This window comes from Homo sapiens, chromosome 4 (assembly GCF_000001405.40).
Source record: "Homo sapiens chromosome 4, GRCh38.p14 Primary Assembly".
Lineage (NCBI taxonomy): Eukaryota > Metazoa > Chordata > Mammalia > Primates > Hominidae > Homo > Homo sapiens.
In genome coordinates this window covers 81,071,968-81,097,302 of record NC_000004.12, presented here as the reverse complement: position 1 = coordinate 81,097,302, position 25,335 = coordinate 81,071,968, and the positions used below count along the sequence as shown (strand labels likewise).

Below are 25,335 nucleotides of genomic sequence, written 5' to 3'. Positions count from 1 at the left end.
ATATTACTGTTCATTGACAATGCACCTAGTCACCAAAGAGCTCTGATGGAAATGTACAAGGAGATTAATATATTTTCATGGCTGTTAACATCCATTCTGCAGCCCAGGAACCAAGGAGTATTTATTTTTAATTTTAATGTTTTTGAGGGTCTCATTCTGTTACCCAGGCTGGAGTGCAGTGGCACAAACATGGCTCACTGCAGCCTAAACCTCAAGGAATAATTTTGATGAATTTAAAGTCTTGTTATTGAGAAATACATTTTGTAAGGCTATAGCTGCCATAGTGATTCCTTTGATGGCTCTGGGCAAAGTGAGTTGAAAACCTTCTGTAAAGAATTCACCATTCTAAATGCCATTATAAACATTTGTGATTTATCAGAGGAGGTTAAAATAGCAACATCAATAGGAGTCTGGAAAAAGTTGATCCTAACGCTCATAAATGGCTTTGGGAAGTTGAAGACTTAATTGGAGAAAGTAAATGCAGATGTGTTAGAAATATCAATAGAACTAGAATTTGAATTGAAGCCTGAACATACAACTGAATGTTGCAATCTAATGATGAAACTTGAACAGATGAGGAGTTGCTTCTTATGGATGAGCAAAGAAAGTGGTTTCTTGAAATCTAATCTACTTCTGGCAAAGATGCTGTGAATATTGTTGAAATGACAACAAAGGATTTAAATATTACATAAACTTACTTAGTTGATAATGTAGTAGCAGGGTTTGAAAGAATTGACCTCAATTTATTTATTTATTTGATTATTTATTTATTTTAGAGTCTCACTGTCACCCAGGCTGGAGTGCAGTGGTGTGATTAGGGCTTACTGCAGCCTTGAATTCCTGGGCTCAAGTGATCTTCCTGCCTTAGCCTCCTGAGTAGCTGGAACTATGGGTGCATGCCACCATGTCTGGATAATTTTTTAACATTTTTTTTGTAGAGATGGGTGTCTTGCCATGTTACCCAAACTCCTGGCCTCAAGAGATCCTCCCACATTAGCCTCCCAAAGTGCTAGGATTGTAGGCATGAGCCACTATGCCCAGCCTAACCTCAGTTTTAAAAGAAGTTCTACTCTGCATAAAATGCTATCAAACAGTATCACATACTATAGAGAACTTTTATGAAATGAAAAGTTAATCAATACAGCAAACTTTATCATTGTCTTATTTTAAGAAATTACCACAGCCTCTCCAACCTTCAGCGACCCCTGCCCTTGTCAGTCAGCAGCCATCAACACCAAGGCATGACCTTCCACCTTTTTGACCATAGCAAAAAGACTATGATTCATTGAAGGCTCAGATGATTGTTAGCATTTTTAGCAATAAAGTATTTTAAAATTATGTACATTTTTAGACATAATGCGGTTGTACACTTAATACACTGCAGTTTAGTTTAAACATAACTTTTATATGCACTGGGAACTCCAAAATTTGTGTGACTTGCCTTATTACAGTGGTTTGGATCTGAACCTTCAATATCTCCAAGGTATGCCTGTATTTTAACATTGTTTTTGATATTTCTAGTCTTTGAAATTACTTTCAAGAATAGACTCTATGAGTCTTCTGAAATGAAGAAGCAGTTTATGTGCTGTTGCTGCTAATATTTCTCTGGTGAATATTTTTTACACACCACTGCATGCTGGCGCTTGCATTACTTAAAATGTGGTTAGTGTCAAAAGGCCATGTGTTAAGTGAATAGCCATGCATGTTAAGTAAGTACTGTGATAAGTCAGATTGTAACAAGTACTCTGTAAGCAACACATGGGCTGTTTGATTCAGTAGAGTGATGGTAATGATTTTTATTAATATTTATGAGGCACCTCGGGGTAGAGAGCATTGTAAAATATGTTAAAAGGAATTGTTGCCATATTTGGTGACAAAAGAAAAGAATCCATAGAACTGTGTACCTAGAAATCCCTAAAAGTGGAGGCTCAGTCTATGCAAAAAAGCAATGGGTAGAACAAAGAGAGGACTTCTGTGGTTTTACAGCAAGGGCAGAGGAGGGATATAAAACAGCTGGGTTGCTGTCTGACTCTCACTTTTTGACTGGAGTTTCAGCAGCTTATGGCAAAATGATATTTTGGTTTAGAATAGCATCTGAAATGGAATGCACTAGTGTCTGCTCTCTGTTTTTCGTTCCTTTTCTATTGCTAAGCTTAGACTTGTAATAGGAAATCCAGTCAAGCACTAAACCAAACCCAAGTCTGGGGATGAGAAGAGAGTGAGAAAGGTGGAAGATCCTAACTTCTGGTATGGCCAACAGACAGAGCAATGTGACAGCCTTCTGAAAGTCTCCCTGCCTTTAATCACAGGGACGCATCACCATCCCATTCTGGCCCCTGTGGTCTTTCTTTATCTCTAAAGCAGCCAGAAGTATCTTTTGAAAAGTAGCTGGTGTCATTTACTTAGAGCTTTCTGATTCTTTCACTACACGTAGAAATCTTGATTCCTTACTGTGCCTGCAAAGCTGTACGTGATCTAGCCTCTGGCTCTTTCTCAGACATCATTTTTTTTTTCTAGTTTCCTCTGCATTCACTACACTTCAGCTCATTCCTTCCATCTGGAAGGGCTTTGCCACAGATCCTCCCATGGTTCCCCCTTCTCTTCATTCTGGCTCTTTCAAATATCACTTTTTCAAATACTTCCCTAGCTATAAGCAGCCCTTCCCAACCTGTTCCTATTCCCGACATCATCTACCACTTTATTCTCTTTTATCTTCCTTGTACTTACTACTGTCTGAAATTAATTTAATAATTTATATTGTTTACTTGACTTTTTTCTGTCACCTCCCAGCAAAACAAAAACATCTTAAAACCTTCCACAAGTCTTTAAGCTGTGTAGCTTCTCTACTCAGTATATTCTTAGAATTAAAAAACAAACAAACAAACAAACAAATTTCTTCTAAAGTTTGGCATCAGATTTTCTTAGTCCCTTCTAAAGTAAAACTTTTTTTTTTCTTAGAGAACTAGTCACTTTAATTTTGTATTTAAAAACAATACAGTTGTATGTATCTGTCCATTCTATATTAAATAATCTTTCCCAAAAATAGCTACAGAGCTCTGGTATCTTGTATGTAAGAGCTAATTTAAAACTAGGCACCAGTCATGTCTCCCAACACCTACCTTAAAAGAAGGCTGATATACTTGTAGGGTACAACTAAATCTTTCCTGACAGGAAGAGGAAACATTTGTTTCAGTTACAGGCATACCTTATTTGATCGCACTTTGCTTTACTTACTGCACCTTGCAGATATTTTATCTTTTACAAATTGAAGGTTTGTGATAACCCTGCATCAAGCAAGTCTATCAGGGCCATTTTTTGATGCCTGAGACCAAGCTGACTTTCCATAAATATCGGTTGGCTGGCTGAGCTGACCTCAGTGTGCCAGTAGAAAAGATCAGTGGCTATAGAACAGCATGATTTCATGTTCTTATTATAAGATCCTGAGAGACAGAGTAGATTGTTTCTATTCAAGAGAAATGAGGCCTCCTGACTCCTGGTGTTATATTTCTAGACCATCAAGCTTGAAATATATACTTGAAATATATGAAGATCAGATCAGCCCTTTTAGATGAGTGATGCATAAGCAATGATGAAAGAACTTCCTCTTAATCCCATATTTTCACAGATTACTGTAAAATACTTTTTCTGCTTAAGTGTGTTTCTTTGCAGAGTCATTCAATCACTCAACAAAAATTTATTGAGCCCCTGTCCCATATCAAGCACTACTCCAAGTGCTGGGGCACAGAGAAAAGGAAATAGATAAAAATCTCTGCCCTCATGGAGCTTGCTTTCTAGTGGGGAGATAGAAAGTAAACATGATAACTAAGTCAAGTAGTATGTTAGATAGCTATAGATGCTAAGGGGGTAAGATAAAGTAGGGAAGGAGGATAAGAAGCTTGTGTGTGTGTGTGTGTGTGTGTGTGTGTGTGTGTGTGTGTGTGTTGGTGGGGGAGAGTTTCAATTTTAGATTGGATGGCCAAGGAAGATCTCACTGAGATGAACTTTGAGAAAAGACATGAAGGTGTTGAGAGAATAAGACATGGAAATCTAGAGAAAGAACAATCCAGCCTTGAGTACAAAGGCCTTAAAGTGGGAACAACCCTAGTTGGTTAGGAGAATAGTGAGAAGATAAATGAGTTAAGGGAGAAAGAAAGAGAAAAGTAATACAGTGGTAAGGTAATGGAAGGATGGTGGTAGAAACAATGATTCTATAAAGCCTTATAGGTTACAGCAAAGACATGGAACAGACTTTGCCTTTTACACTGAGTAAGATGGAAAAGGTGGGGAAGTATTGAACCGAGGCATGTTGTGACCTGACTTATGCTATAAACGACCAGTCTTGCTGCTAAGTTATCTCCAGCACAAAAGTACGGCTGGTTCCTTGCTAGTAGAGTGAAGGTATTGAAGACTGGCCAGATACTGAATATAGATAGAATGTGAAGCTAGCACTGACAGGATTTGATCATGGACTCAGATAGGATATAAGGCAAAGAACAACTACAAGAGCTTTGGTTTGAGCAACTGGAAGAATTGAGATGAGGTTGGTGGAGAACATTTTAAGCTTCTGTTCAGACATGATACATGCCAGATGCCTATTAGACATCTAATAGTGAGAAGATGAATAAGAATTGTAGACCTTAGCCTGTAAGCTGATGGAGGGGTCTTGGTTGGAAATAGAAATTTGGGAATAATTAGCATATAAGTGCTATTTAAAGCCATGACAGATAACTTGACATGCTAATAGTTTATCATCCAAGTAATATTCCTTTTTGTCGTCTCTTTCTTTCTCCCTTCCTTCCTTCCTTCCTTCCTTCCTTCCTTCCTTCCTTCCTTCCTTTCTCATTTCTCAGGTGGTTAAATGGTTTTAATTGGGAGGGACTGAAAGCACGGAGCCTTCCATCACCTTTGCAAAGAGAGGTATTGTATTTATTATATTACTTTTTTATTTTTTTCCCAGGGATTTGTTTTTGTACACAGATTTTAGATGTGTGTATGTATATGCCCATAACAGATTTTGGGTGTTTTTTTTTAAAGCAGTTTTTATTTTAATTTAAGTGAGTTTGTCTTATAATTGTGATTATAGGGACTAAATAGTACTGCCTAGCTGATGGATATTAACTTACCTGTCAAGAACCAAATACATGTCAGTGCCACTTAAGTCCCAAAGTAGTCAGTGTTGTTCAGGCTGACAAATGACTGTATAAATTTGATGTGAACAATGTATGTAACTTAAGATTTTCTAATAGCCATTTTAAAAAGGTGAAAAAAAAGGTGAAAATAATTTTAATTATCATAATACCTCCAAAATATTATTTCAATATGTAATCAATATAAAATATTAGTGAGATAGGTTATGTTTATTTTTCCATAATAAATTTTCTAAATCCCAAGTGAATTTTACTGTTACAGCACATCTCAGTTCAGAAGAGCGACATTTCAAGTGCTCAGTCACTTCGTGTTGCTAATGGTTTTGTTATTGGATAGTGCAGCTCTAGAGGCAGCAGAACTTCAGCTAACATGGGAGGAAGAATGACTCAGGAATGATCTAGGTCAACATACTACTAAGTTTATGTTAGTGTTTTTTCCAAAAGATTGCAAAGATCTATATTTCCTCTTATACATTGGTAGATTGCTATCTGACTTTTTTTCATCAAAGTGTAGTTGTGGAGAATATGATTTCCAGTATGTTGTAAATATTGACATTTTAAAATAAAACACTAGGCCAGGCATGGTGGCTCACGCCTGTAATCCTAGCACTTTAGGAGGCCGAGGCGGGCGGATCACGAGGTCAGGAGATCGAGACCATCCTGGCTAACATGGTGAAACCCTGTCTCTACTAAAAATAAAAAAAAATTAGCCGGGCATGGTGGCGGGCACCTGTCATCCCAGCTACTCAGGAGGCTGAGGCAGGAGAATGGCGTGAACTCAGGAGGTGGAGCTTGCAGTGAGCCGAGATCACGCCACTGCACTCCAGCCTGGATGACAGAGCAAGACTCCGTCTCAAAAAATAATAATAATAATAATAATAAAAACACTACTGTTACTTCATTCCTTTAAACATGTCTACTATAATCTAAATACCATTGAGATTTAATACCTATCTGCCACTTATAAAGTTTGGGCAGAAATATTGTATCACTCCTTTTCATCATATCATCATATTTTCATTCTATGTTCCCTATAAGATTTCATCCTAATGTAAAATGCTTCTATGCTTGACAATCTTTCTTGATCATTCTTTAAATGCCTTCGAATTTTAGATTTAAAATTTGTGATAACACCAGTATTTCTTCTGAATTCTGTTATAATTACATTTTTATGGCATGCAGTGTCAAATGGCATAAATATATTATGAATATCTAATGGTAATTATTAAATAAACATTTTTTGAGAAGAAATTATTTCATGTATCTATGGATAGATATTATTTATTAGAAGAATGGGATCAGATTCAGCATCAATTCTATTCCTTTTTAAAATGATTGTTATGCAGATACAAATTCTAAGAATTGTGTTCTCACATATATAAGTGGGAATGGAAGGTTTTATTACAGCGATGTCACTTTGAGCTCCTTCTGAATGATCTCTAGCTCTGTTCCTCCACCACATTATGATCTATCATAAATAATATTTTTAATGATTTTTCAGCTGATCATTCAGTTAGGCATTACTTACATTTGTTTGAAAGCAGAGTTAGAAATCATTTTATTTGTGAAATAATTTAATACCAGCATAATTTCACTCTCTCAACAGGGTCACTAATATTTTGAATTGTTCCTTTTTTGGCATTCTGAATACTTTATATGGATCAATTAACCATAAAAATTTCAGGATTGGTGAGAAACTTATATAATGGAAGAAGAACGCTAGCAGATTTTGATTTTAAAAGAGTTTTCAATTAAAAAAATAAATAGACATCATTTCTGTCACTTATTTTTTTTTTTTGAGAGAAAGTCTCACTCTGTTACCCAGGCTGGAGTGCAGTGGTGTGATCTCAGCTCACTGCAACCTTCACCTCTCAGGTTCAAGTGATTCTCCTGCCTCAGCCTCCAAAGTAGATGGGATCACAGGTGTGTGCCACCATGCCAAACTAATTTTTGTATTTTTAATAGAGATGGAGTTTCACCACATTGGCCAGGCTGGTCTCGAACTCCTGACTTCAGGTGATCTGCTTGTCTTGGCCTCCCAAAGTGCTGGGATTACAGGCGTGAGCCACAGCGCCTGGCCTATTTCTGAACTTTTTCTTTAGGAAAACTCTTCATGCCAGGTAGTTACTATTGAATGTTATCTGGTGACCAAATCTATTTGGTTGTAAAGAGAAGATCTCATGAGGCTGAGACTAGGACTCAAGAATGATAATTGGTCATTTTTTTCTTGTATGTAACTTCCAAGTGGCTGCAGTATGAAATCAGTGTTCTGAAATAAAAAACATTACCCATATGTGATAGCATGCTTGGTCAACATTATTCTTCCTTTTGTTTTAATTATTTCTATATTAGCTCAAGGGACCCATAGATCACAGCTACTTTGACAAATATCCTCCTGAAAAGGGAATGCCTCCAGATGAGCTATCAGGCTGGGATAAAGACTTCTGACAGAAGAAAAGTTGATTACTGCCTGTACTCTACAGAAGAGGACCTCAAGGATCAATAATCCAACACATTATTTTCTTTTCAGAGTATTATAATATCTTTGGAAGACCATTAGGGAAAAGAAATTCCTGCACAATGGGAAGAGGAGAATGGTGTGGATATGGTTCTGAGTTATAGTGTCTTATTTAGATGCTGTGAATTATTGATGTATTACATTATTTGCTTTTCTCAACTGCTAGAGGCTACCCCATTTTCCTTTCCACAATCAGAGCCATTTTTGTTAAAGTGGCAGTTTTTTCTGCAATCTATTGTTCCATTCCAATCATATCCTTCTCGTTTGAGTACTACTAACGTTTAAAAAGGGTCTTGCCCTTGAATAACTAAGTCATACAAATAGAAGGAAAAACAATGGTGAATTTTGGAGAGCTCCCCAGCTCTCAGCAACTTCATATAAGCATGGTGGTATCTTAAAATGGTGGTTTGCAGAAACCATGGTAGCCAACAGAACCTCCTGACTTTCACCTGCTTTTAACCTGAAAATATATTAATACGCCTCTGACATGAGTCCAGGGAGAGGCAAGATTGAGCAATAGTCAGTGGCACCATTTCCTAAAGTAACTGAATCAATCAATCCAGTCAGGTAATTATTTTCTATTGGGGAACTTAGAAAAAAAAGTAAAGCAAGAAATATTTTCTCTCCTTTATGATCAGTGATACCTTAGAGACTTTTCGAAAGTCCTTGTTAAAGATAGTTACAATGTGTGGTTAAATGATGCTAAAATATTTTCACAACCAGAGTAGAAAACGTGCTGGAACAAAATTGCGAAGGCTTTTGCCTCCCAGTAAATAGAAAGGAAAATATATTCTAGTAGGTAAGACTGCTGACTCTTTGAAAATCTGAGGTATTTTGAAAAATTCTGTGATAGTTGCTATTAATAAACCAAAATTGTATAGAATCATCGTTAATTTTTAATATAAATCCCATTGACAAATGTTGATGCACTGTAGTCACTGCTGAGTTAATAGCGCTTTTTAAAGACATCTGAGTCATGGATGTGTTTATAAATTTAGATTGTTAAGACAGGCAAGCCACCAGAAAAGTGATAGGATTTCAGAAGTAAAAGGGACAACAGCATCCCTCCTATCCCTTCCTTGCACTCTCCCAAATAATAAGTAGGATAGTTTCAATAGCATGGGACCTAGTACCTAAGAACTTCACTGGTGAATGGTTGTATGTATTGACCATGATCATTCCCTTACCCTCCTTCCAAAATGAATGAGAAGCAGAGACTTTTCTGTATTTTTTAAATCTAGCAGAGTAAAAATACTGTATAAGTTCCGGGATTATTCAAGCTTCTGGTTATATTTTCATATGTTAATGTTCTATGTCAAAAGGAACCTCTACCCAGTCCCCACTCATAATTTCATCATCCAGAAAAAAGCCAGCTATATGCTTCCTTAATGAGTTAAGCTAGATAAGTGAAGCCCAATCCAGAAAGGTGCATCCTTAACAAATTAGATTTCCACATTTATAATCCTTTTGCTGAACCAAAGAGTTTTTGTTTCCTGGAGCTGTATTTTTAAAGATTATGTATTGTACATAGAATAATCATTTTTAATAGGATTGACATAACCTGCTTAAAGAATTTCTAAGAGTTTTTAAAGATTTTTATTTGAATTTGGTTGGTTTGTACTGTATGTTTTTCCATGTATATATTTTTAAATTTCCAACCTATAAAGATAGAAAATTTATGTATTGGGTGGATATTAGAACTATACAGTTATAATAGGAATGATATTCTCAAAGCAGATCAATAGTTGTAATTTTTAAAACCCTACATATATAGAAATAACCAAGTTAGAGTACTACAGGTTTATTTTTCCTGTGATTGACCATGTCAATGTGTTATCCTCCCATGTGATTTTTTATTGTTTCCTTAGAGTACTTTAAAAGATGAAGAAATGAGAGACTGAACCATTGAATAATCCCAACTCCACCATTTCCTAACTGAGTGACTCTGGGAAAGTGATTTAGCTTTTTTGAGTACTAGCTTTCTCATTCATAGAAAAAGGCAGAGTAAAGTAATATTTACTTAGAGGTTTGTTTCAGGGATTAAGTTATGTAGAGAGTCTTTTGCCCGGTATCTGTGAAATAACCATTGCTGCATAGACGGGAGCTACTGTTACTGTCTCTATTAAAATTAAAGGGGCCTTAATAACCATTTAGTCCTGAATCTTATGTATCATTGGTATCTGTATGCAGAATTGTACTTATCAAATCCAGTATCTGTCTTTTTTTTCTTTTAAATCATGAAGTAAAAATGATTGACCAAAAACTTCGGTGTATGAGATGAAGGGTTAACCTTCACTAAAGTGAAGTGCTTCGTTAAGTTAACCTAAATTTTAATTTTTATGAATTAAAGATACACACATACAGGGAAATATGGAAAATTACCCTCATATATGCATACCTATCATTTTCCTAATCATTAAATCATTCCCAATCTCTCTAGTTAGGATGTAAACTTAATTTTTCATCCTTGAGCTTCTTCCAAGTGGGACCAACTTTTCATAATTATAGGTTCTTAATGCCTTCTTTAAATATAAACACATCTGAAGAAAAGACAGTGTAGTAGTGAAAAGTAAGAGATTTAGAGAAGAACAAGAAAAAAAAAAAACCTGGGCTTGAATTCCAGCTCTGCCCAGATTTGTGTAACCTTGAACATTAAACCTCAGCTTTACTCTTCTGGAACTTGGAGATATACATTTAAAGCTTTGAAATCTTGCGCCAGAATATTATTACTAGTAGGTCATTCGTAATAAACATTTGAAAATAAGTATATATCTATATTTCTTTGGGCACAATAACAAATCCTTGTTCTTTATTGCTAGGCATTGTACTAGGAGTATTTATATCTATTAAGTCATTCACACAAGATACTAAAATAATTATAAATACACAGATAGTTGACTTTATTCAAAATTTTTTTATTTATTGGCCTTAAATATGCATTTTTTTTACAAAGAGATGCTCATTTTATTTTATTTTTAAATTACCTGAGGGTTCCAATATGATGATGATGATGATGATGATGATTATTATTATTATTATTATTACTATTTTATATCTTTCTCATGTTTAAAAATTCTACATTCAGGGCACACATGCATGTTTGTTACTTGGGTATATTGCATAATGGTGGTGATTTGGTTTTCAGTGTATCCATCACCCAAATTTAAATATACATTTTATTCACAATTTAGCTCTGATGGTTTTGCATGGCTTAGTCCCAGTTGTTATAACTGTTAACAAATTACCCCAAAACTTAGTTGCTTAGAACAACCATTTTGTTACTCTCCTAGATTTCGTGGGTCAGGAATTCAGACAACACATGACAAGGATGTCTTGTCTCTGCACCACAATATCTGGGGAACCAGGTGGAAAGACTCAAAGATTAACGGTGACTCAGTGGCTAGGAGCTAGAATTACCTGAAGCCTTGTTCACTCACATATCTGCTACCTGGCTGGGACTTCTCAAAGACAGGACTTAGGACCAGGTTGCCTACACATACCTTTTCCATAGCTTGGATTCCTCACATAATGGCATCCTTAAACTAGTCAGACTTCTCTTGTGGCAGCACGGGGCTCCTACAGTGATTATTCTAGCTAACAAAGCAGAAGCTATACTATCCTTTATGAATTAGCTTTGGAAGTCAAATAACATCACTTCTCCCACACTCTGCTGGTGGAAACAAAAGCCCACCCAGATTTGAGGGGAGAGAACATAGACTTAACTTCCTAATGAAGAGAATTTTAAAGAATTTGTGGACAAATTTTAAAACTGCCGCAATTCACTTTCTGGCCACACATTACTTATATTACTCCCATATGAAAAACAAATTTATTCCTTCCCAAGAGCCTCCCTAAAAATATTATCAGGCTCTGGCTCATGGTCCTGGGTCATGTCATCTAAATCCAATTTAAGTGTAGAAGACACTCTTCAGGTATAATTCCTTCCATACATTATTTTAAGTCTAAAATCCTGTGAAATAAGTAAATAAGTAATCTGCCTGGACAGTCACACATTGAGAGGTAAAAAGCAAAGGCCGACCACACCAGATACTTGGATTAGGAGGAGAGAATGGAAGGCACAAAGTAATAACTAGTCTATGGTAATCCTGAAATTTGGCCAGACACGTGAGCTTTTCTTGGCTTAGGACTCACTCCTACTCCCTGTGAGTCATTCTTCATAGCTCATGGTGGCACCATTTAGAATCTTGGTTCTGCCTTCTGAGCCATCCTTCCTCTTCCATAAGATATAGCTGATTTTTCAACTGAGTAGGCATCTTAGCCACTTTGATGCCGGTGAAAATTTGATGGTAGAAATGCCTCTTTTCAGCTTGTTTCTGCCTCTTTATTTCAAGCTGATACATTTCTTTTAAAAACTTCATGATTTTTCAAATACGAATTCATAATCCAGTCCACTAGACAATAGCCAGTCACAAATCTTTCCTCTAAAGATGCTCTGAGAAAATGCACTTAAGATTCTTAGAAGTTTTACTTTTTATGAGAGAAGTTCTGTACAACACATGCAAGATGCCTCAGAGGATTGTTTGAAGGGGTGTGGTGGGCACCTTCAAAGATAGCTTCCAGCAATCCCTGCTTGTGGTAGTCATGGCCTTTTATAATCCCCTCCTCTCCAGTACTGGCTGAACCTAGTGACTTCCTTCTAACAAACAGAATATAAACAAAGTGAAGGGATGTCACTTCTGAGATTGGGTTACAAGGGGACTCCGCGTATATTCTCCTGAGCCTCTCTCCCTCTCATTTGCTTGCTCTGATGGAAGCCAGCTGCTGCAATTTGAGTAAACGTGGCAAATAACTGAGGGAGGCTCTGGCTAACAGTCAGTGAGCAAATGAGGCCCTCAGTCCAGCAACCTATGATGAGCCAACTCCAGTCAACAATCACATGCCTGAACTTAGAGCAGATCCTCCACTGAGTTGAGCCTTTAGATGGAACTGCTGCCCCAGCCAATATTTTGCAGCCTAGTGACAGCCCATGCACCAGAGGACTCAGACAAATGATTCTGGAGTTCCTGGTCCACAGAATGTGTGAGATAATAATTGTGCATTGTTTTAAACTACTAATTTGGGAAGGGAAGATTGACATAAAATGGAGGAAGAAGGATAAAATGGACAGAAGAGAAAAAAGTTGAATCCTTGAGGAAAAAACAAATTTGTAGTGACAAACTGGAACACATGAGGACAAACTGGAACTTGCATCTGTCTTTCCTGGTTGCCAGCCTTGGTCATTTAGGTGACCTACAGGATAAGCTGATACCTTTAAAATATTCCTGCTTTAGGATTTGAAGATGCTGAAGGAACAGTCTAGCTGGAACTGGAAAGACCATAGGCCTGGCTGTGCTCTGTACCAACAAGGTGAGTCAACAGATGAGACAATGTGTATGAGCTGCAGCAGTACTTGGACTTATACTGTCCCCTGGAGTGCAAATATAGCTGCTTCTCATGTCTGCCTTTCAGATCTTATGTAAATTTCTCTTGTGAAAAGGCCTAACTCAGAACCATACTGAAAAGGGAATTCTGGGAAACATATTTCTGGCTTAGCTAAATTGACACAGTACAAAGTCACTCAGTTTTAAAACTAGTAAAACATATTATGTATTATTATTATTATGTAATTTATTCAGTTTGATTTAGTAATGAGATTTGCTTTACCTCTTTCTACCCAATAATCTTTGAAATATATTTAGGGCATGGGACACGTGACTCAATCAAAATCAGTGATAACAATTTGTCTCAAGTGATTTACAAGCAAGCTATAAACTGAATTAGAGCTGGAGCATTTTCAATTCTGAAAGACATAAAACCAGGATATTTTTGTTTATTTAATTGTTGGTTGCTAAATTAAAAGTGGTACAATGAAAAGTAACATGAAATTTGTTTTGATAAGTATAAACTTCCTCAGTAAGGGAAACACAAATAGACATGCATTTTGGGGGAAGAAGCAGAAGATGATGTGATAATAGAACAAATGGGGCTTACTCTTCAGGCAGATGAAAGCAAGCTAGGAGTCACACTGGAACACAAGCTGATATGAGCCAACCACCCAATCCTGCTGCTTAAAATTCAGGAGGATCCTCAGATTGCTAAGTGGATCATAACATGCAAAAGCTCTACGCGCTTCTGAATTCTGTTTGTGCAGCCTCTTTTCCTTTGATGCAGGGTCTTGCTCTGTGTTCCAGGCTGGAGTGCGGTGGCACAATCACAGCTCACTGCAGCCTTGACCTCCCCGGCTCAAGCAATCCTCCCACCTCAGCCTCCCTCGTAGCTGGGACTACAAGTGCGCACCACGACCAAAAAAAAAACCAAACCAAAACAACAACAACAAAAACCCAAAACACAATTTTATTTTGTATTTTTTGTAGAGATTGAGTTTCACCATGTTGTTCAGGCTGGTCTTGAACTCCTAGGCTCAAGCAATGCACCCACCTTGGCCTCCCAAAGTGTTGGGACTACAGGCATGAGCCACTGCACCTGGGCTTAGTCAGCCTCTCTTAAGGTCTTGTGCTCGGTTTTGCTTTTGGGAAAGATAGTCAAAATATTAAAGTGTGCCTTTTCTCTTTGAGGGCTCATAAGGATTAATGAGAGTAAGGGAGACCTCTTATTCAAATGGGTGGTGAATGCAAAGAAAATTATTACATACATGTCTTAACTGATTCACTCAACAATTATGAATTTGAGCACTTATGTTCCAGGCATTGTTCTAGGTGTTGAGGACACAGCAGGATAAAATTATAGTTCTAAAAAATGCTTATATTTATTATATAACTGTGTTAACAGTAACGATCTCCAGGTGGTATAATCATGTATACTTTTTCTTTTATCTATATTTTCTTTGTTCTATACATTGAAATTATATTTTATAATAAGAAAAAACTTCATTTAGAAAAAGAAATTTGAATCAAATGTAGGCTAGATATCAGAAAGATTATTTTTAAAAAAGGGGGGACTGTTGAACGTTTATAAATTTTACTACATCACATCAGTTTTATTGGCAGCAGACTGGCATAGCCTTTCTCAGGCCTCAACAGCTTTCAGCACCTTTATTCACTTGAATCTTTGAGTTAAACTTTTACAGACTTCCTGGTGGTGCTCTGTATTAGTCCTTTTTCATGCTGCTGACAAAGACATACCCAAGACTGGGTAATTTAAACAGGAAAAAGCATTTAATGGACCTATAGTTCCACGTGGCTGGGGAGGCCTCACAATCATGGCAGAAGGCAAGGAGGAGTAAGTCATGTCTTACATGGATGGCAGCAGGCAAAGAGAGAGCTTGTGCAGGGAAACTCCACCTTATAAAGCCATCAGATCTCATGAGACTTATTCACTATCATGAGAACATCACGGAAAAGACCTGCCCCCATGATTCAACTGCCTCCCACCAGGACCTTACCACATGTGGGAGTCAAGATGAGATTTGGGTGGGGACAGAGCCAAACCATATGATTCCACCCCTGGCCCCTCCCAAGTCTCATGTCCTCACATTTCAAAACCAATCATGCCTTCCCAACAGTCCCCCAAAATCTTATTTCAGCATTAACTCAATAATCCACACTCCAATGTCTCATCTGAGACAAGGCAAGTCCCTTCTGCCTGTGAGCTTGTAAAATTAAAAGCAAATTAGTTACTTCCCAGATACAATGGGGGTACAAGCATTGGGTAAATATAGCCATTTCAAATGGGAAAATTAACCAAAACAAAGGGGCTATAGGCCCCATGGAAGTCTGAAATCCAGCAGGGCAGTCAAATCTTAAAGCTCCAAAATGATCTCCTTTGATTCTATGTTTCACATCCAAGTCACGCTGATGCAAGAGGTGGGTTCCCATGATCTTCAGTAGCTCTACCCCTGTGGCTTTGCAGGGCACAGCTTCCCTCCCAGCTGTCTTCATGGGCTGGTGTTGAGTGTCTGCAGCTTTTCCAGACACATGGTGCAAGCTGTCAGTGGATCTTGGATCTGCCATTCTGGGGTCTGGAGGATGGTGGCCCTCTTCTCATAGCTCCACTAGGTGGTGCCCCAGTAGGGACTCTGTGTGGAGGCTCTGACCCCACGTTTGCCTTCTGCACTGCCCTAGCAGAGGTTCTCCATGAGAGCCCCGCCCCTGCAGCAAACTTCTGCCTGGACACCCAGGCGTTCCTATATATCCTCAGAAATCTAGGTGGAGGTTCCCGAACCTCAATTCTTGACTTCTGTGCACTTGCAGGCTGAACACCATGTGGAAGCTGCCAAGGCTTGAGCCTTGCACCCTCTTAAGCCATGGCCTGGGCTGTACCTTGGCCCCTATTAGTCACTGCTGGAGTGGCTAGGATGCAAGGCACCAAGTCCCTAGACTGCACACAGCATGGGAACCCTGCACCAAGCCCATGAAACCATCTTTTCTTCCTCGGCCTCCAGGCCTGTGATGGGAGGGCCTGCCGTGAAGACCTCTGACATGCCCTGGAGACATTTTCCCCATTGTCTTGGGGGTTAACATTCAGTTCCTCGTTACTTATGTAAATTTCTACAGCCACTTGAATTTTTTTCTCAGAAAATAGAATTTTCTTTTCTATCACTTTGTCAGGCTGCAAATTTTCCAAACTTTTATGCTCTGTTTCCCTTTTAAAACTGAATGCCTTTAACAGCACCCACATCTCCTCTTGAATGCTTTGCTGCTTTGAAATTTTTTTTCACAAGATACCCTAAATTATCTCTCTCTAGTTCAAAGTTCCACAAATCTCTAGAGCAGGGTCAAAATGCTGCCAGTCTCTGCTAAAACATAACAAGAGTCACCTTTGCTCCAGTTCCCAACAAGTTCCTCATGTCCATCTGAAACCACCTCAGCCAGGACTTTATTGTCCATATTGCTGTTAGCATTTTGGGCAAAGCCATTCAACATGTCTCTAGGAAGTTCCATACTTTCCCACATTTTCCTGTCTTCTTCTGAGCCCTCCAAACTGTTCCAACCTCTGCCTGTTACCCAGTTCCAAAGTCACTTTTGGGTATCTTTTCAGCAGTGCCACACTCTACTGTTACCAATTTAATGTATTTAGTCTGTTTTCATGCTGCTGTTAAAGACATACCCAAGACTGGGTAATGTATACAGGAAAAAAGCATTTAATGTACTTACAGTTCCATGTGGCTGGGGAGGTCTCACAATCGTGGTAGAAAACAAGGAGGAGCAAGTCACATCTTATATGGATGGCAGCAGGAAAAGAGAAAGCTTGTTCAGGGAAACTCCACCTTATAAAGACATCAGATCTGCTGAGCCTTATTCACTATCTTGAAAACAGCATAGGAAAAACCTGCCCCCATGATTCAATTGCCTCCCACCGAGTCCCTCCGACAACATGTGGGAATTCTCCAGTATTTATTTTTCTGTTTCCACCTTAATTTACTCAGGATAATGGCCTTTGTTTCCATCCATGTTACTGCAAACACGAATGGACATGATCCCGCTCTTTCTTATGGCTACATAGCATTCCATTATGTATAGGTACCACATTTCCTTTATCCAGTCCATCATTGCTGGGAATTTAGGGTGATTCCATGTCTTTGCTGTTGTAAACAATGCAGTGATTAACATATGCCTGCATGTGTCTTTATGGTAGAGTGATTTGTATTCCTTTGGGTATATACCGCATAATGAGATTGCTGGATCAAATAGTAACTCTGTTTTAAGTTCTTTGAGAAATCTCTAAACTGCTTTACATAGTGGCTGAACTAATTTATGTTCCCACCAACAGTGTATAAGTGTTCCCTTTTCTCCTCAACTTCACCTGTATGTTATTTTTTGCCTTTTTAATAATAGCTATTCTGGCTGGTGTGAGATGGTATCACACTGTGGTTTTGATTTGTAGTTCTCTAATGATTAGTGATGTTGAGCATTTTTTCATATGCTTTTTGGCTGTTTGTATGTCTTCTTTTGAGAAGTGTGTGTTCATGTTCTTTGCCCATTAAAAAAAAAATCTTTTTTCTTCTGGACATAGGGTCTCACTCTGTCACCCAGGCTGGAGGGCAGTGATGCAATCTCAGCTCACTGCAACTTCGGCCTGCCAGGCTCAAATGATTCTCCTACCTTAGCCTCCTGAACATTTTTTTGAAACAGCCAAAAATTTAACTAGAGAGCTTCTGCACGGCAAAATAAACTATCAAAAAAGTAAACAGCTTACACAGTAGGAGAAGACATCTGGAAACTATGCAACTGACAAAGGTCTATAAATATCCAGAATCTATAAGGAACTTAAACAGGGGACTACAGGCATATGCCACCACGCCTGGCTTATTTTTATATTTTTAGTAGAGATGGGGGTTTCACCATGTTGGCCAGGCTGGTCTCGAACTCCTGACCTCAAGTGTTCCACCCTTCTTGGCCTCCCAAAGTGTAGGGATTACAAGTGTGAACCACCGTGACCAGCCTACCCATTTTTTAATAGGTTTGTTTGTTTTTCACTTCTTAATTTGTTTAAGTTCCTTATAGATTCTGGATATTTATAGACCTTTGTCAGTTGCATAGTTTCCAGATGTCTTCTCCTATTGTGTAGGCTGTTCACTTTTTTGATAGTTTATTTTGCTGTGCAGAAGCTCTTCAGTTAAATTTTTGGCTGTTTCAAAAAAATGTTTAGTTCTACTTCTACCAGACTTCCTGTGCCTTGTTCCCTCACCTTTTCCCTCACCACCAGGCAGAGTATCTCCTGACAATAAATTCTCTGTGCCGAATGGATACATATTAATTAATTAATTACTTGACTGATAGATTCCCTCAACTAACATTTGTGTGACTACTCTGTGCCAGGCACAATTCCAGCACTGGTGTTCAGCAATAAACAATATACACTTTCATCATAAAACACATATTCTAATTGCATGACAATAACAGTAAATAATTAAAAACAGAAGGTATTACAAAATTTAACTCAACATACAGCTTGTGCATAAAAAATTTAAAAGTAGTGTCTGTAGCTTATCTCATCTCTTTGTAACTTTCACCTACTAGTTAGCGGGTAGGGAGGAGAAATGAAAAGTCTCATTCGGTTTAAAGTTGATCTAATCAAATACTTTAAGCAGTCCCTCTAGGGCAGTGGTTCTCAGATTTTGGAGTGGAAGTTGATACATGCATTAAGACTCAGGCCACACCTTTTAAGGAGCCTGGTTCTCTCTGAGCTTTCTTAACAACCCAGGTGGATCTGACAAACAGCAAAGTATGAGAATCTTTGCTTTATGAAAATTTCAGTCTCTCTTAAACAAAAATGCTCAGATTATCATTTAGCATCTCTTCTAAATATGTTCCTTACCAAGATGGGGCCAATGTCAGTGCTCTAAGGCAGGATATCTACTTGGTTGCTGTTTGGCTGATACTCATGGTCAAAGTCTATGGCTAGGGAAGCCCATCATTTGTCTCTCCGGGCTGGGACAGGGCCCAAAGCCTCCTTCATTGACTCAGATTCCGATTGGTTATGCTAGCACTAGAGTCCTTCAGGGTTTGACTACGGTCTCTTGCGATTCTAGGCAAGATTTGCTCTGGAGAATTCACTACAAACCTACCTGCTCACTACTAAGGGAATCCCCTCTGATCAGCTCCGTAGCTGGACATTCAGGGTTATAGATTCTGTTTTCACAATGTAGAAGCCAAAAGGATTCATGATAATTATAGCTCAGGGCCTCTTGCTGCCCAGTTATGCTGCACCCTCAATATTACTATGCTACAGTCCACCCCAGGGAAGACTGTGAGGAGCCACAAACACAGGAAAGGGGGGATTTTTTTCCCTTTCTCTTTCCATAGTTTCCCAAGGGCAGAAAAATGCAGGCTTTCTCCTCTTTCTGTTATGTCTGGACTTCCCTTACATACATAAAACTCTTGTCTCTTCCACAAAGCCTGATCCTATATAAGCTGAAGGAGGAGATACAGGAATTTAGATAATCCTTTCTGAGGGCCAAAGCTTGTCCTTTGAATTTTAAAAGCTAAATATTTCCTAGGACTTTCTCAGCACAATCCTACTGGAAGTAATCCTGTCGGCAGGTGGATGATTCCAGAAAAGAGCCAAGATTTATTTTTGGTAAGCAAAGGCAAGATCACATTCATAATTTAAAAAGAGAATTATTTCCCCTTTGCAAAAATAAATAAAGCAGAAACTTTCATCACTGTGATAAATGCTATTAATACAATTAAACAGGATCATGGGACAGAATGCTGCTGAGAAGAGGTGAGAACGGCTTTGAATAAGTGGTAAGGAAATGCCATCCTGAGTCGGTGACATTTGAGCTGAAACCTGAATGATGAAAAAGAAACAGGCTTGAGACAGTCTAGGATAAAGTGTTCCAGGCAGAGAAATCAAATGCAAAAGGTGTGGGGTATTAACGAATTTGGCATGTTTCAGAAACAGAAAGCAGTCCTGTAAGTTTCCAGAATTGTGAGAGCTCAGAGAGGTAGACAGGCCCAGATTGTGAGTCTCATAGGCCACAGTAAAGTGTTTGGTTTTATCCCAAATGAAATATGAAGACATTTGATCTTTTTTTTTTTCTTTTGGAGCAGAGGAGGGATCTGTTTTACGGTTTTGAATGATCACTCTGGTGGCTATGCTAGGATGAAACATAGATTGAAGAATAAAGGAAGCAGGCAGTTGAATTACTTAATTCAGGGGAAAACTGATGGGGACTGGCTCACACTAGAGTGTCAAGTGGGTCATGGACAAAGAATACTGGGTAGACTGGAACTGTTTGGAGAGAGAGGTGACGAGATTGGATGTGAGAGTGAGGGAGAGAGAGGAAATAAGCAAGGATGATCCTTGGGGTTTTCAAAGTTCTAAGTTGGTAATTGAATGTACACAAGTATGTATGTATGTATATATGTGGGTGGGTGTGTGCCTGTGTATGTGTGTGTAAAATATCCTTTCTTCTAGTAATGTTTGCGGACTGTGGTCTCAGTTATTTTTCAAGTAGAGTTGCAGATATTGGTGATTACAACTGTATGAGGTAAAATAAAAAGAAAGGAGAATCACATTTTAAGTACTTCTGTGACACAGTGTGCTAAGTACTTTATATATGTTATCTCACTTGAAATTTTTGCCTCCATTTTATGTAGTTATTATTATTACCACATATTGGGTTGGTGCAAAACTAATTGCGGTTTTTTGTCATTACTTTCAATGGCAAAAACTGCAATTACTTTTGCAGCAACTTAATAATAGATGTGGAAGTTTGACCCAGGTTGGAAAATAAATTAGCACACTTCAAAGACTTATTCAACTAATATTTTTAAAGGACCTACTGTGTGCATGATATTTATTGTTGTTACTCAGAATGGGTAACATCATTTCCATCACTATGACCATTTATGGGGAATAAAAGAGTTTTAAATTCCCATTTTTGTGTGGTATATTTTCGGAGTCAAAACTGCTTTAAACAAAAGACCTTGCATTTCATGCACTAACTATAATATGTAATAGCTATGGTCAAAAATATTCTCCAGTATGCATCATACTGGGGTATCAGTCAAAATACCTATATTATGTACAAGCAGTGCTGTTAAGATTTTAGGTGATGGAATGTGATCAGAGTGGGAGAGTTTTGAACTTACTTAGCTTTTTATCTCTCTTCATTCAAAGTTCAATTTCTGCTACCTTTCAAGTTTAACAGAATTGGGAATACTAGCTCTTTCTTTTTGTCCTTTAGCCTATTTTTATTTAATTTTTTCTTACATTGAAATTCAACATTCACTCAATAAACATGTTTGAGCACCTATAGTACATACAATAATCCATAGAGCAACTGAAATCAAATACCACAAATAATTTCTTGGTTATGGTTGTGATTTCATATTACATATCAATGACTTGGCCTTGGTTCAGTACACTTTTTATATTACAGGGGAATATTGGATATCATATAAAAAGAATCATTGTTTAATATTAAGGGGAATATAACAAAATTTAAACTTCATGGTTGCTACAAATGTTAAATATATTTGCATACAAAAAGAGAGAAAAGACCAAAAGAAAATAACAAAAAAAAATGTTGACCTCTGAGTTGCGGAATAATAGATTCTTTTCCATGCTTCCTACCTTCTCAATATTTCTCTAAATTTTTGAAAACATATGCAATAAAAATTTTGGTCATGAACAATATTTCTTTTTTTTTTTTTGTGGTAAGAACACTTAACCTGAGATCTACCCTCTCAAGTTGTTAAGTGCATAATACAGCAATGTTAACTATAGGCACCTTGTTGCACAGCAGATCTCTAGAAGGTATTCATCTTGCAAAACTGAGACTTTATATTTGTTGAATAACAACTACTCATTTCCCCCTTGCCCCAGCCCATGTAACCACCATTCTACTGTTTCTTTGAGTTCGACTATTTTAGATACTTCCTATGAGTGGAACCATGCAGTTTTTGTCCATCTGTGACTGTCTTATTTAACTTACCATACTGTCTTCCAGATTCATCAGTGTTGTCACATGTAGCAAACTTTTCTTCTTTTATAAGGCTGAATAATTTTCCATTATATGTACATACCACATTTTCTTCATCCATGCATTCCTCAATAGAAATTTAGGTTGTTTCCCTATCTTGGCTATTGTGAATAATGCTGCAAGGAACATGGAAATGGAGATATCTCTTTCAGATCCTGATTTTAATTCTTTTGGATACATATCTGGAAGGGGGATTGCTGGATCATATAGTAGTTCTATTTTTATTTTTATTTTAGAAAACTCTATACTGTTTTTCATAGCAATGGCACCATTTTACATTCCCAACAACAGTATACAAAGGTTCAAATTTCTCCACATCCTCAGCAACAATGGTTATTATTATTTTTTGATAATAGCCATCCTAACAGGTATGAGGTGATTTCTCATTGTGGTTTTGACTTGCATTTCTCTGATGATTAGTGATGCTGAGCATCTTTTCATATACCTGTTAGCCATTTGTACATCTTCCTTAGAGAAATATCTATTCCAGTCTTGCCCACTTTTCATTGTTTTTTTTTTCCTATTGAGTTGTAGGATTCAAATAAACAAAATCAGAAATAAAAAAAGTGGACATTACAATTCATGACACAGAAATAAAAAGGTCCATAAAAACTACTATAAACAATTATGCACCAACAAACTGGTAATCTAGAAGAAACAGATAAATTCCTAGACTCATACAGCTTACCGGGACTGAACCATGAAGAAACAGAAAATATGAACAGACTAATAAGCAAGGAGATTGAATCAGCAATCAAAACTTCCAAGCAAAGAAAAACACAGAACCACATGTCTTCACTGGTGATTCTACCACACATTTAAAGAAGAGCAAACACCAATCTTTTCCAACTACTCCAAAATGATTGAAGAAAAGTGAACATTTACAAACGTATTTTGAGTCCATCTGATACCAAAGCCACACAAAAATCTCACAAGAAAAGATAATTACAGGCACAAATGTCCTTGATTAACAAAAATCCTCAACAGACTACTAGCACATCAAATTCGACAGTACTTTAAAAGGACCATACAGCATGACTAGGACAATACATCATGTACCACACATCATGGGATTCATCTTTGGGGTGCAAGGATGGCATGACATGTGAATCAATTAATGTGAAACATTACATTAACAGAATGAAGAATAAAAATCACATGATCATTTTAATGATGCAGAAAAAGCGTTTGACAAAACGTAATAGTCTTTCAGTATAAAAACTCAAAAAACTAGAGGTAAAAGGAATTTACCTCTACATAATAAAGGTCACATATGATAAACTCACAGCTCACATTATAGCAGATGATTAAAAAACTGAAAGTTTTCCTCTAAGATTAGGAAAAAGATGAAGAGTCTCACCTTCACCACTTCTATTCAATATAGTATTGGAAGTACTAGCCAGATCATTTAGGCAAGAAAAATAAATGAAAGGCACCTAAATTGAAATGGAATAAGTAAAATTGTCTCTGTACATGACTTGATCTCATATAGAAAAGCTTAAAGACTCTACAAAACAAACAAAACAAAACAAAAAACCAAAAAACCTGTTAGAAGTAATTTAAAAAGTAAGTATAATTGTAATATACAAAATCAAGATATAAAAATCAGTTGTGTGTTTATACACTAATAACAAACTCTCTGAAAAGGCAATTAAGAAAACAATCTTATTTATAAAAGCATTGAAAAGATAAAAATATTTAGGAATACATTTCACCAATGAGATGAAAGATTTGTACACTGAAAAAATATAAAACATTGATGAAAGAAATGGAAGAAGATATAAATGAATAGAAAGGCATTCGACGTAAATGGATTAGAAGATTTAATAGTGTCAAAATGTCCATACTAGCCAAAACAATCTACAGATTCGATGTAGTCCCTATCAAAATCCAATGGCATTATTTGCAGAAATAGAAAAAAAAATTCTAAAATTTATATGTAACTACAAAAGATCTTGAATAGCCAAAGTAATCTTGAGAAAGAAAAGCAAACCTAAAGGCATCACACTTTCTGATTTCAAGATCTATTACAATGCTACAATGATTAAAACAGTACAATATTAACATAAAACAGACATATTGACCAATGGAACAGAACAAAGAGCCCACAAATAAAACCATACGTAAAAGATTAACTGATTTCTGACATGCTTGACAAGGGTACCAAGCATGAACAATGGGGAAGAATAGTCTCCTCAACAAATGATGTTGAGAAAACTGGATATCCACATTGAAAAGAATAAAACCGGATATACGGAAACAAATTAGATATCCATATAAGCCATTCTGAGAAATCAGACTACTAGGAAAATCCTATTAAATGTAAGCCAGACAATCATATCACTTCTCTCTACAAAATCCTGTGATGACTTCCCATCTCACTCAAGAGGAAAAGCCAAAATAATTCATAACCAATAGCCTAACCCATTCCATTTCCATCTCTGTTACCTGTCTGACTTGATGTCCTACTTTTCTCTCTCACTCACTCCATTCCAATCACATTGGCCCCCTTGCTCTTCCTCAAACATGGCAGGTATACTCTCAACCCAGGGTCTTTGCACGCACTTCTTTCTCTTCCAGGAATTTAAGTATTTACCTGCATGTATTTACCTCTCTTTATGTTTTGACTCAAATCTAACCGTCTTAGTGTGTTTTTTCTTGATGACTTATTTAAAATTGCAACCCCTCTAGTACTCTTTATCCTTCTTCTCCTTGTTACTTTTTTGATAGCATGTTTGACTCTCTAATATAATATAATGTACATTTTATATATTTATCTACACATTTTTCTTATTTTCTGTCTCCCTCCAGTAGAGTATTACTTTGATAAGGACAGGGTGCTGTCTCCCTGGTGTGTAGAAAAATGCTTCACATATCTTGGGCAATTAACAAATATTCTTGGATGAATGAATGAATTTTAGGTGAGGTAACTGAACCTAGAAGAGTTAAACAACTTCACCCAGTGTTAGCAAACTTCATCGTAGCCTCCATCTTCTGATTCTATTGCCCAATATATCTTTTCAGCATGCTGCTTTACTCTTATAATATCTACATACTAAATTAAATTTGAAATTTTTTTGGTTGTCTGCTACTTATAAATGCTTATAAATAAATAGATTTGTTTTCTTATACAAAGACCACAGAATTCAGAGTATGGCTTTGACTTGTTGATTTCTCGAATAATCCCTTTGTAGGATTTGACTGTTTTCTTTTTTAAA

The 25,335-nt window shown here is 37.2% G+C and overlaps 1 protein-coding gene across 10 annotated transcripts in view; it reads left to right on the top strand.

Moving 5' to 3' along the window:
* The window catches only part of PRKG2 (protein kinase cGMP-dependent 2), a 130,467-nt gene extending 120,534 nt beyond the window's left edge, over positions 1-9,933 (top strand). For 7 of the 10 annotated variants that reach the window (XM_017008415.2, XM_017008416.2, XM_047415963.1 and 4 more), the window contains 2 exons: positions 4,851-4,917; positions 7,500-9,933. In XM_017008415.2, coding sequence (XP_016863904.2) covers positions 4,851-4,917; positions 7,500-7,595 — 163 coding nt within the window. In that variant the 3' untranslated portion in view covers positions 7,596-9,933. The remainder of the gene's footprint in view (positions 1-4,850; positions 4,918-7,499) is intronic. The other 3 variants (NM_001282485.2, NM_006259.3, NM_001363401.2) reach the window with 1 other exon arrangement.
* Positions 9,934-25,335: the final 15,402 nt, after the last annotated feature.